This window comes from Homo sapiens, chromosome 9 (genome assembly GCF_000001405.40).
Source record: "Homo sapiens chromosome 9, GRCh38.p14 Primary Assembly".
Classification (NCBI taxonomy): Eukaryota; Metazoa; Chordata; class Mammalia; order Primates; family Hominidae; genus Homo; species Homo sapiens.
The window spans coordinates 130,640,823-130,654,591 of NC_000009.12; the positions used below are offsets into that span (position 1 = coordinate 130,640,823).

General features: G+C 48.1%; 1 pseudogene; it reads left to right on the forward strand.

Moving 5' to 3' along the window:
- RPL19P15 (ribosomal protein L19 pseudogene 15) lies at positions 10,949-11,642 on the forward strand (annotated as a pseudogene).

Genomic DNA, 13,769 nt, shown 5'->3' on the forward strand with positions numbered 1-13,769 from the left:
CCAGTTCTGTGCCAGGTTCTATGCTGCACTCCGTCTGGGGCTTCAGAGGAGAGCGTGACCACCGCCTCCTGGGGGCGCACTGTCTTTTGTAGTCACCACCAAGGGAGATGGTTGGCAGGATGGGAGAAGATCTTGAAAGTTAGGGTTGAGTACCAACTTGGCCAGCCCTGGAAGTGCACTACAGTCATTCATCATTTTCAATTCCGTATTTGCAAATTCACCTACTCACTGAAACGTATTTGCAACCCCCAAATCTACCCCCACAGAGCATCTGCGGGTCATTCACGGTGAAAAACGTGAGTTACCGGATGCACGTGTTCCCAGCTGAGGTGGAAAAGGCGGCGCTCTGCCTTCTGGTTTCAGCTCTCGTGTCATAAATAAGCACTTTTCCTTGCAGTCTACTTAGTGCCACAGTTTTTGCATTTTGTGCCTTTTTTTTTTCTTTTTTGACAGTTTTACTGTCTAAAGTGGCCCCCAAGCATGGCACTAAAGGGCCATCTAGCATTCCTAAGCATAGGAAGGCTGAGGTGTAGCTGATGGAGACAATATATGCGTTCTGCCTCTTGCAGGCCTGAGTTACACGGCTGTTGGCCACGAGTTCAATGTTAATAGGTGAACAATATACATATTAAGTAAGGAGTATTTATTTTTATTTATTTTTTATTTTTGTTTATTTATTTGTTGAGATGGAGTCTTGCTCTGTCACCCAGGCTGGAGTGCAGTGGCACGATCTCGGCTGACTGTAACCTCCGCCTCCCAGGTTCAAGCAATTCTCCTGCCTCAGACTCCCGAGTAGCTGGGATTACAGGCGCCCACCAACATGCCTAGCTAATTTCTTTGTATTTTTAGTAGAGATGGGGTTTCAGCGTGGTCAGACTGGTTTCAAACTCCTGACCTCAAATGATCCACCCATCTGGGCCTCCCAAACAGCTGGGATTACAGGCGTGAGCCACCGTGCCCGGCCAATGAGGGGTCTTTAAACAGAAACACACATAAAACAAGATTATGGAGTGCTGATGCATGCCTGTAGTTCCAGCTACTAGGGAGGCTGAGGGAGGAGGATCACTTGAGCCCAGGAGTTCGAGGCTGCAGTGAGCTATGTCCGTGCCTGGGAATAGCCACTGCATTCCAGCCTGAGCAACACAGCAAGACCCCATCTCTTAAAAAAATAAAAAAGGGGCTGGGCGCAGTGGCTCATGCCTGTAATCCAGCACTTTGGGAGACCGAGGTGGGCAGGTTGTCTGAGATCAGGAATTCGAGACCAGCCTGGCCAACATGGTGAAATCCCGTCTCTACTAAAAAGACAAAAATTAGCTGGGTATGGTGGTGCACGCCTGTAATCCCAGCTACTCGGGAGGCTGAGGCAGGAGAATTGCTTGAACCTGGGAGACAGAGGTTGCAGTGAGCCGAGACTGCACCACTGCACTCCAGCCTGGGCAACAGAGCGAGATTCCGTCTGAAAAAATAATAATAATAATAATAAAATAAAACAAAATAAAATAAAAAAGATTATCTATAGATTGGTGTGGACACTGGCTTGCAGGAACCTTGCCTTGTATTTCCCTTAGGAACAAGGGTTTAGTATTTGATGATTCAGTATTTGCAGAGACTTTATATATCACTACCATGAACAACTAGAATCCACTGGCTCTTACTTTCCTATAAGGAAAATCCGACTCTTATCCCATTTTGGAGATGAGGAAATAGGGTTTTGCTTGTCTGTTTGTTTTTTCTGAGATGGAGTCTTGCTCTGTCACCCAGGCTGGACTGCAGTGACATGATCTCGGCTCACTGCAGCCTCCGCCTCCCGGGTTCAAGCAATTCTCCTGCCTCAGCCTCCTGAGTAGCTGGGATTACAGGTGCCCGCCACCACACCCAGCTAATTTTTGTATTTTTAGTAGAGACAGGGTTTCACCATGTTGGCCAGGCTGGTCTCGAACTCCTGACCTCATGATCCACCCGCCTCGGCCTCCCAAAGTGCGGGGATTACAGGCGTGAGCCACCGCGCTCGGCCAAGGAAACAGGTTTAAATAGGTTCTGATCAGAGTCATACCATGGTTGTGCACATGTGACCTGAGAGGTAACCAGGACTATGCTCCCCATTTTACAGATGAGGGCTCAGAGAGGCTGGAAACTGTCCTTACTCACACAGGCACGGAGGGGCCAGTTCCATGGCAAGTTCGTGCTCCACTCTGCTGGGGTTTCAGTGGAGAGCTACACTCTTGCTGAGGCCTCCTCAAACCTTAGCCTGGCTGCGATACCGGCCTGCCTTGCCACACCCACACACGAGCAGAGCCAGGCACATGTGCAAGGAATGCCTCACGTGGTTCTAGTGGGGCCTGGCGAGTTCAGCCTACCTAAGGCAGCAGGGTGTGAGGCATGAATGTGTGGACACTTAAACTTGGGTCTGAGTCCTGCCTGCACCTCATATGACCTAACCTCTGGTATCCTAAGTGTGGGGCTAGCAGCCACCTGCCCGCCTGTGGGGCTATGATAGGAGTCAATGGCACACAAGTAAAGCGCTTCACACCTGGTTCTTAATGGGCACTCAAAAACTGGCAACCGGCCTGGTGCAGTGGCTCACATCTGTAATCTCAGCACTTTGGGAGACCGAGGCGGGAGGATCGCTTGAGCCAGGAGTTTGAGGCCAGCCTGGGCAACGGAGTGAGACCCCACCTCTACAAAAAAAAAAAAAAAATTCTAATTAGCCAGGCATGATGGCGCATGCCTGTAGTCCCAACTACTTGGGAGGCCAAGGTGAGAGGATCCCTTGAGTCCAGGAAGTCGAGGCTGCAGTAAGCTGTAATCATGCCACTGCACTCCAGCCTGGGTGACAGAGCAAGACCCTGTCTCAACAAACAAGCCAAAAAAAGCCGGGTGCAGTGGCTCTTGCCTGTAATCCCAGCACTTTGGGAGGCCAAGGTGGGTGGATTACCCAAGGTCAGGAGTTTGAGACCAGCCTGGTCAACATAGTGAAACCCTGTCTCTACCAAAAGTACAAAAAATGGGCAGGGTATGGTGGCAGGCACCTGTAATCCCAGCTACTAGAGAGAGTCTGGGCAAAAGAGTCACTTGAATCCAGGAGGCAGAGGCTGCAGTGAGCCGAGATCGCACCACTGCACTCCAGCCTGGGTGACAGAGCTAGACTCCGTCTCAAAAAAAAAAAAAAAAAAAAAGCCGGGCGCGGTGGCTCATGCCTGTAATCCCAGCACTTTGGTAGGCCGAGGCGGGTGGATCACGAGGTCAGGAGTTGGAGACCATCCTGGCTAATATGGTGAAGCCCCGTCTCTACTAAAAATATGAAAAATCAGCCGAGCATGGTGGCAGGCGCCTGTAGTCCCAGCTACTGGGAGGCTGAAGCAGGAGAATGGCGTGAACCTGGGAGGCAGAGCTTGCAGTGAGCAGGATCGCGCCACTGCACTCCAGCCAACAGAGCAAAACTCCGTCTCAAAAAAAAAAAAAGAAAGAAAAGAAAAGAAAGGTTCTTCCCTAACTCCACTTCTTCAGTCAAGGGGAGAGAACGATCAACAATTTCCTTCAGGCAAAGGGAACCCACAGGCCTCACTTTTGTTCCCAACTTGGACAGATGACTTTCTGTGACTTGGATAGATCAGCTCTCTTGATCTGTTTTCTTTCCTTGGAATTGGACCACACAAGTGGTTTCCAAATTATGGTAGGTTGGTGTCAAGGATTTCATGGTTGTTTAATTCACATTTCGATAAAACACGTTAAATATTAAATGCATTTAAACTTTTTTTTTTTTTTTTGAGACAGAGTCTCACTCTGTTGCTCAGGCTGGATTGCAGTGGTGTGATCTCGGCTCACTGCAACCTCCGCCTTCCAGGTTCAAGCGATTCTCCTACCTGAGCCTCTCGAGTAGCTGGGACTACAGGTGTGTGCCACCACGTCGGCTAATTTTTGTATTTTTAGCAGAGTTGGCCAGGCTGGTCTCGAACTCCTGACCTCAGGTGATCTGCCTGCCTCAGCCTCCTAAAGTGCTGGGATTACAGGCGTGAGCCATTGCACTCAGCCTTAAACATTTTTAAAAACAATTTGTAACCATAATGTTTTTTAAAAACACCATGCACTCAAGTACATTATATGCTGCACTTTCTTTTTCCCTTCCTTTTTTTTTTTTTTTTTTTTTTTTGAGAGGGAGTCTCTCTCTGTCATCCAGGCTGGAGTACTGTGGCATGATCTCGGCTCAGTGCAACCTTTGCCTCCCAGGTTCAAGCAATTCTCTTGCCTGAGCATCCTGAGTAGCTGGAATTACAGGCGCCCACCACTATGCGCTAATTTTTGTATTTTTAGTAGAGACGGGGTTGGCCAGGTTGGTCTCAAACTGGTTGGTCTCGAACTCCTGACCTCGTGATCCATCCACCTCGGCCTCCCGAAGTGCTTTGATTACAAGCTTGAGTCACCGCGCCTGGCCAAAGCTGTATTATTATTATTTTTATTTATTTATTTATTTATTTATTTATTTATTTTAATTTTTATTTTTTTGAGATGGAGTCTCGCTCTGTCGCCCAGGCTGGAGTGCAGTGGCACGATCTCGACTCACTGCAAGCTCCGCCCCCCGGGTTCATGCTATTCTTCTGCCTTAGCCTCCTGAGTTGCTGGGACTACAGGCGCCCGCCACCACGCCCGGCTAATTTTTTGTATTTTTAGTAGAGACCGGGTTTCACCGTGTTAGCCAGGATGGTCTTGATCTCCTGACCTTGTGATCCGCCCATCTCGGCCTCCCAACAAAACTGTCTTAATTATTGTACCTTTACAGTAAGTCCTTCAGCTTTGTTGTTCTTCAAGATTGTCTTGGCTACTCCCAGCCCTTTGCATTTCTATACAAATTTTAGAATCAGCTTGTCGATCTCCCAACCCCCATAAAAATATTTTAAATTTGCTGGGATTTTTACTGGGATTGCAATGAATCTATAGATCAATTTGGGAAGAACTGACAACCTAACAATGTTGTAGATTCTTTTGAATTTCCTGTTTTCACAGTCAGATCATTTATGAATAATGATGGTGTTATTTTTTTCTTCCCAATCCTTATGCCATTTGTTCTTTGTATTGCTTGACTACTCTGGCCAAGACCTTCAGTATCTTGTTGATTGAAAGCCATGAGAGTTGTCATTCTGGTCTTGTTTGTAGCCTCAGAGTGTATGTTTGGCATACAGTTTATCTGATAAGGAGGTTTTCTTCTGTTTCTAGTTTGCCAAGAGTTTTGTCATGAATAGGTAATGAATTGTTTCAGTACTTTCTTCTGCATCTGTAGAGATCATCTATGATTTATCTCCTTTTTCGCTTCAATGTAATGAATTACACTGATAGATTTTCAAATGTTAAACCAGCCTTGCATTCCTAGAATAAACCTCATAATGGTTGTAAAGGATTATCTATTTTATTGATAGATACATGGATAGATAGATAGATGATAGATAGATGATAGGTAGATAGATGATAGGTAGATAGATATAGTTGATAAGATATACATATTATATATATAATTGGTTTGGTTTACTAACTTTTTTATTAGGATTGTTATATATACATTCATGAAAACCACTGGTCTGTAATTTACACCACATTTAATCAATCTATATTAGTCTATTCTCACACTGCCACGAAGAACTACCTGAGACTGGGTAATCTACAAAGAAGAGAGGTTTAATTGACTCACAGTTCTGCAGGCTATACAGGAGGCACGACTGGGAAGCCTCAGGAAATTTATAATCATGGCAGAAGGCAAAGGGGAAGCAGGCACATCTTAGCGTGGCAGAGCGGGAGAGAGAGAGCAAGGCAGGAAGTGCCACACACTTTCTTTCTTTCTTTCTTTCTTTTTTAGACGAGGTTTTGCTCTTGTTGCCCAGGCTGGAGTGCAGTGGCGCCATCTTGGCTCACTGCAACCTCCGCCTCCCGGGTTCAAGTGTTTATCCTGCCTCAGCCTCCCGAGTAGCTGGGATTACAGGCATGTGCCACCACGCCTGGCTAATTTTTGTATTTTTAGTAGAGACGGGGTTTCTCCATGTTGGCCAGGCTGGTCTCAAACTGCCGACCTCAGGTGATCCGCCCGCCTCGGCCTCCCAAAGTGCTGGGATTACAGGTGTGAGCCACCGCACCCGGCCCAAATGCCACACACTTTCAAACCATCAGATATCATGAGAACTCACTCACTATGATGAGAACAGCAAGGGGGAAATCAGCCCCCGTGATCCAGTCATCTCCCACCAGGCCCCTCCTCAAATTCAACATGAGATTTGGCCAGGACAAAAATCCAAACCATATCACCATCGAAGATGCATAACAGGTCAACTTGTGCTACTACCTTAACTCATTTCTGAGCAGGTGTGTCCTCATTGCGCACATTGCCATTGCGGAATGTTCTAACACTGGTCTTTGAAGTCATGCCTGTGGGCATCGGCTCTTGTGCCCAAAAGTTCATTTCTCAGTTCATTACGGAATTCCATGCTCAGATGCCAGGCGAGGTTCAGCAAACAGATGGTCTCGCCATGACCAATCATGGTTCTCGTGCAGTTAAAACCCACAACTAGGCCAGGTGCGGCGGCTCGCACCTGTAATCCCAGCACTTTGGAAGGCCAAGGTGGATGGATCACCTGAGGTCAGGAGTTCAAGACCAGCCTGGCCAACATGATGAAATCCCATCTCTACTAAAAATACAAAAAAAAAAAAAAATTAGCCTGGCGTGGTGGCACGCACCTGTAGTCCCAGCTACACGGGAGGCTGAGGCAGGAGAATCACTTGAACCTGGGAGGTGGAGGTTGCAGTGAGCCAAGACCGAGACCCTGCACTCCAGCCTGAGCTACAGAGTAAGACTCCATCTCAAAAAAATAAAATAAAATAAGTACAGGCACGGTGCCTCACGCCTGTATTCCCAGCACTTTGGGAGGCCGAGGTGGGTGGATCACCTGAGGTCAGGAGTTCAAGACCAACCTGACCAACATGGTAAAACCCCGTCTCTACTAAAAATTCAAAGTTAGCCAGGCGTGGTGGCAGGTGCCTGTAATCCCAGTTACTCGGGAGGCTGAGGCAGAAGAATCGCTGCCTCAACTTCCGGGAGGTGGAAGTTGTGGTGAGCCGAGATCGTGCCATTGGACTCCAGCCTGGGCATCAAGAGTGAAACTCCGTCTCAAAAAATAAAAAAATAAAAAATAAAATAAAATCCAACTAATAGTGTTGAGGCACCAGCTGTACCCAAGGCATTGTGCTCAGCCCTGAGGGATGGGGCAAAGTCACTTCTCCCTGCATGGAGCTGATCTAGCAGAGGCACTTGTTTATATCTGGCAATGGTTAGTTAGCAATTCCACTTTATAATTTTATTTTTTAGTGATCCTCCTACCTCAGCCTCCCAGCAGCTGGAACTACAGGTGTACCACACCCAGCTATTTTTTTTTTTTTTTTTTTTTTTTTTGTAGAGACGAGGTCTCACCATGTTACCCAAGCTAGTCTTGAACTCCTGGTCTCAAGTGATCTTCCCATCTTGGCCTCCAAAAGAGTTGGTATTACAGGTGTAAGCTACCATGCCCTACCTAGCAATTCAACTTTGAGACAAAAAATTCTTCCTACCCTTTTTTTAAAAATCTTCTGAACCATTTTATTTTATTTTATTTTATTTTTTATTTTTTTTTTTAATTTTATTAAGGAGTCTCACTCTGTCACCCAGGCTGGAGTGCAGTGGTGCGATCTTGGCTCACTGCAACCTCTGCCTCCCAGGTTCAAGCGATTCTCTTGTCTCAGCCTCCCGAGTAGCTGGGACTACAGACGCGTGCCACCACGTCCAGCCAATTTTTTATTTTTAGTAGAGACAGGGTTTCACCATGTTGGCCAGGATGGTCTCGATCTCTTGACCTTGTGATCCTGATTCAAACAAATAAGCAGTTGTCAATGATGACAGTTTTTGAACTGCTTACCTTGTTGTTTTGCATACACTGTAATACAACTGGTTCAGGCTGGGCGCGCTGGCTCACACCTGTAATCCCAACACTTTGGGAGGCTGAGGCAGGAGGATCACCTGAGCTCAGGAGTTTGAGATCAGCCTGGCCAACATGGTGAAACCCTGTCTCTACTAAAAATACAGAAATTAGCAGGGTGTGAGGCTGGGCATGGTGGCTCATGCCTGTACTCCCAGCACTTTGGGAGGCCGAGGCAGGCAGATCACTTGAGGTCAAGAGTTTGAGACCAGCCTGGCCAACATGGTGAAACCTCGTCTGTACTAAAAATACAGAAATTTGCTGGGCTTGGTGGAGGATGCCTGTAATACCCGCTACTCAGGAGACTGTGGCAGGAGAATCACTTGAACCCGGGAGGCAGAGGTTGCAGTGAGCCGAGATAATGCCACTGCACTCCAGTCTAGGCAACAGAGTGAAACTCCATCTCAAAAAAAAAAAAAAAAACCTACAAAAATTAGCCAGGCGTAGGGGCACGCACCTGTAGTCCCGGCTACTCAAGAGGCTGAGGTGGGAGAATCACTTGAGCCCAGGAGTTGGAGGTTGCAGTGAGCCGAGATCATGCCACTGCACTCCAGCCTGGGTGGACTGAGCGAGACTCCATCCAAAAAAAAAAAAAGAAGAAGAAGAAGAAATAAATGCCACTTGTGCTTGTATCTGATCTCTTTGGCTTTCTGCAGTTTGAATATATTGTGGCTGGGTGTGGATTCTGTGTGTGTGTTTGTTTTTTATTTGTTTTGCTTTGTGTGTACGTGTGTGTGTGTGGTGTGTGTGTTTCTGTTTCTGGTATTTTTGTTGTGATTATTTGTTGCTATTTATCCAGATTGGTGTTCTCTGAGTTTCCTGGACCTGTGCTTATCTGCCTGTCATTAATTTTTTTATTTTTTTATTTTTGTAAGGCAGAGTCTTGCTCTGTCACCCAGGCTGGAGTGCAATGGGCAACATGGCGAAACCCCATCTCTGCAAAAAGTACTACAAAATTAGCCGGGCGTGGTGGCGCGTGCTTGCAGTCCCAAATACTTGGGAGGCTAAAGTAGGAGGATTGCTTGAGCCTGGGAGGCCAAGGTTGCAATGAGCCGAGATCGTGCCACTGTACTCCAGCCTGAAAAACAAAACAAAACAAAACAAAAAAACTTGAAAGTCACCACTTTCATTATTTCATTATTAAAATTAAAAAGAAAAAAAAAACGGCCGGGCGCAGTGGCTCACACTTGTAATCCCAGCACTTTGGGAGGTCAAGGCGGGCGGATCACGAGGTCAGGAGATCGAGACCAGCCTGGCTAACACGGTGAAACTCCGTCTCTATTAAAAATACAAAAAAAAATTAGCCGGGGGTGGTGGTGGGCGCCTGTTGTCCCAGCTACTCCGGAGGCTGAGGCAGGAGAATGGCGTGAACCCGGGAGGCGGAGCTTGCAGTGAGCCGAGATGGTGCCACTATACTCCAGCCTGGGCAACAGAGCGAGACTCCATCTCAAAAAAAAAAAAAAAAAAAAATTAACTTGGACAAACTGAAAATCAATGACTTTTCTTGCAGTTGAAACTTTTCTTGAAGTTCTCTGAGGTTTCAGAGAACTGAGTTTGCAAAGGCAAAGCTCCACCCAAGTCAGGAGAGACAGGAGAACCTGGAGAATCCCAGCGACATCTGTGGACCAGGAGCAGAAGCCACGGGAGCCCTAAGTGGGAACACAGATGGGAACTCGGATGAATTGCTAGAGGCTGAGTGTGGACTGGCATCAGAGGGACAAAGTCCTAGAGTCTTCAGTCTAGGGGGTCCCCCACACTTTCATGGGTTTCCCTCCAGGAATCCCACTTGATTCTGTCGAAGAAAGATCCTGGGCCGGGCACGATGGCTCATGCCTGTAATCCCAGCACTTTGGGAGGCCAAGGCGGGCGGATCACGAGGTCAAGACATTGAGACCATCCTGACCAACATGGTGAAACCCCGTCTCTACTAAAAATACAAAAATTAGCTGGACATGGTGGTGCGCACCTGTAGTCCCAGCTACTCGGGAGGCTGAGGCAGGAGAATCGCTTGAACCCGGGAGGTGGAGCTTGCAGTGAGCCGAGATCACTCCAGCCTGAAGACAGAGCTAGACTCTGTCTCAAAAAAAAAAAAAAAAAAAAAAAATCCCACAGGCTCTCGCTGGGGTGGGTGTAGAGATCCTTGTGAAACACTCAAAGCCTTCTAGCCAAGGCCCCATTCCAGGGGGAAGAGCTTTGCCAGAGCCTATCCCAGGTAGGGGAATGGAATTCTCCTTCCAGCCCCCTCCAGCCCCTTCCAGGCTTCGCAAAGAACAAGCACAGTGCTCAGGAGCCAGGCTGCAAGGAATTAGGTCGGGAAGGAACCTGAGCCAGAGAAGGTAGTAAGTGGCAGGGGGGAAAAGTGACACCCCTGCAGGGATACTTGTGAATGTCACAGCCCCAAGACCCAGGACCAAGACAGGACTGACGACAGAATGTTCCCTCTCTCCCACACCTCACCACACCCACAAGCTGCGGTACCATCATGGGAGTCACAGGCGACAGAACTCAAGGCTCAGACCTCCCAAAGTCAGGAGGGAGACAACAATGAGGACAGTAGAAGACGTGGAGCCTCTGGCACCTGCAGCCGCAGCAAACACCTAACACTGCCCAGCTCCTAGAAAGAGGATAATACAGCCTCGGCCGGACGCAGTGGCTCGCGCCTGAAATCGCAGCACTTTGGGAGGCCGAGGTGGGTGGTCGCTTGAGCCCAGGAGTTCAAGACCAACCTGGGCAACATGGCGAAACCCCATCTCTACAAAAACTACAAAAAAAAAATAGCTGAGCCTGGTGGCACGTGCCTGTAGTCCCAGCTACTCGGAAGGCTGAGGTAGGAGGATCACCTGAGTCTGGGAGTTAGAGGCTACAGTGAGCCTTGATCATGCCACTGCACCCCAGCCTGGGCACCACAGCAAGACCCTGTCTCAAAAAATTTAAATAAATAAATATAAAATATAAAAGAGCTTTCCTTTCGCTGCTGCAGCCGCAGCCATGAGTATGCTCACACCTCAGAAGAGGCTCATCTCTAGTGTCCTCCACTGTGGCGAGAAGAAGGTCTGGTTGGACCCGATGAGACCAATGAAATCCCCAATGCCAACTTCCGTCAGCAGATCCGGAAGCTGATCAAAGATGGGCTGATCTTGCGTCACCGCAAGCCTGTGACGGTCCATTCCCGGGCTCAATGCTGGAAAAGCACCTTGGCCCGCCGGAAGGGCAGGCACTTGGGCATAGGTAAGCGGAGGGGTACAGCCAATGCCTGAATGCCAGAGAAGGTCACGTGGATGAGGAGACTGAGGATTCTGCGCCGGCTGCTCAGAATCGAAGAAGATTGATCGCCACATGTATCACAGCCTGTACCTGAAGTTGAAGGGGAATGTGTTCAAACACAAGCGGATTCTCACGGAACACAGCCACAAGCTGAAGGCAGACAAAGCCCGCAAGAAGCCCCTGGCTGACCAGGCTGAGGCCCGCGGGTCTAAGACCAAGGAAGCACGCAAGCTCCGTGAAGAGCACCTCCAGACCAAGAAGGAAGAGATCATCAAGACTTTGTCCCAGGAGGAAAAGGCCAAGAAATAAAAGCTCCCCCTTTGTCTGTTATTACATGGATCAGCTCCCTCCGTTATTACATGGATCAGCCATTAAAATAAAACAAGCCTTTAAAATAAATAAATAAATAAATATAAAATGAAATATACCCTCCTCACACTAAAGGCCTCTTGACCTTAGTTCCTGTTATCTGATACAGTGTGTCTGGATTTCAACAAAAAATTGCAAGGCATGACAAAAGGCAACAAAAAAACACAATCTCAGCTGGGCACCAAGGCTCACGCCTGTAATCCCAGCACTTTGGGAGGCCGAGGCGGGCAGATCACCTAGGTCAGGAGTTCGAGATCAGCCTGGCCAACATGATGAAACCCCGTCTCTACTAAAAATACAACAATTAGCCAGGCGTGGTGGCGCATGCCTGTAATCCCAGCTACTCGGGAGGCTGAGGCAGGAGAATCGCTTGAACCCAGGAGATGGAGGTTGTGGTGAGCCAAGATCACGCCATTGCACTCCAGCCTGGGTGACAAGAGCAAAATTCCATCTCAAAAAAACAAAAAAAAACAAAAAACATGCTTTTGAGACCTATCCTCCCCCATAAAAATCTGTGGCTGTGAAAGTGCAGTTCCTCCCTGTGTGGTGTTGGGGGGGCTCTAAGCACCCCTCTAAGGGAGCTCTGGGGAACAAAAGGACATCCTGCCCAGCTAGACAACAAGAATGAGAGGGTTTCTCCCTCGAAATTCCATGGAAAGCAGGAGCTGGAGGTTGCAATGGGCTATGATGGCACCACCGCTCACCAGCCTTCGTGACAGAGCCCGACCCTGTCTTAAAAACAAAATGAAACAAAACTAAACTTTTGCCAGACATAATGGCTCATGCCTGTAATCCCAGTACTTTGGGAGGCTGAAGCAGCAGGATCACTTGAGGCTAGGAGTTTGAGACCAGCCTGAGTAAAACAGGGAGACCCCAACACTACAAGAATAAGTTTAAAAATTAGCCGGGTGTGGTGGCATGTACTTGCGGTCACAGCTATTCAGGAGGCTGAGACTGGAAGATGGCTTGGGCCCGGAAGGTCAAGGCTGCACTGAGCCATGATCACACCACTGCACTCTAGCCTGGGTAATAGAGCGAGAGTCTGTCTTTAAAAAAAGAAAAGACAACGTAGTGCCTATAGCTGATAATACCATATTGTACACTAAAAAACGTAAGAGAGCAGATGTCAAGTGTTCTTACCAGCGTCCCCCCACCACCAGCCCCTGGCACACACACATGGGAGCAAGGGGAAGCTTTTGGAGGTGATGAATGTTTATTACTGTGATTGCAGTGATGGTTTCGGGGTGTACGCATATGTTCAAACTCAGCAAATTGTATGCATTAGATATGTGCAGCTTATTATATATTAATTACACCTCAATGAAGCTATTTTAAAAATAAAAATTAGGGCCAGGCACGGTGGCTCACACCTGTAATCCCAGCACTTTGGGAGGCCGAGGTGGGCGGATCACGCAGTCAAGAGATTGAGACCATCCTGGGTAACACCATGAAACCCCGTCTCTACTAAAAATGCAAAAAATGAGCCGGGTGTGGTGGCGGGCGCCTGTAGTCCCAGCTACTCAGGAGGCTGAGGCAGGAGAATGGTGTGAACCCGGGAGGCGGAGCTTGCAGTGAGCCGAGATGGTGCCACTGCACTCCAGCCTGGGTGACAGAGCGAGACTCCATCTCAAAAAAATAAATAAATAAATAAATATAAAAATAAAAATTAGGCCAGGCGTGGTGGCTCACACCTGTAATCCCAGCACTTTGGGAGGCCAAGGTGGGTGGATCACTTGAGGTCAGGAGTTCAAGACCAGCCTGGCCAACATGGTGAAACCCCATCTCTACTAAAAATACAAAAATTAGCCAGGCGGGGTGGCAGGTGCCTGTAATCCCAGCTACTCATGAGGCTGAGGCAGGAGAATTGCTTGAACCCAGGAGGTGGGGGTTGCAATGAGCTGAGATCGTGCCACTGCACTCCAGCCTAGGTGACAGAGCAAGACTCTCTCTCAAACAAAAAAAAAGAAGAAGAAGAAGAAAAGAAAATTATTAAAATTAAAAAAAAAAAAAAGAAAGCAAAAAGAAATCCCAGCCAGGCGCAGTGGCTCACGCCTGTCATCCCAGCACTTTGGGAGGCCAAGGCGGGAGGATCACCTGAGGTCAGGAGTTCGAGACCAGCCTGGCTAACATGGTGAAACCCCGTCTCTA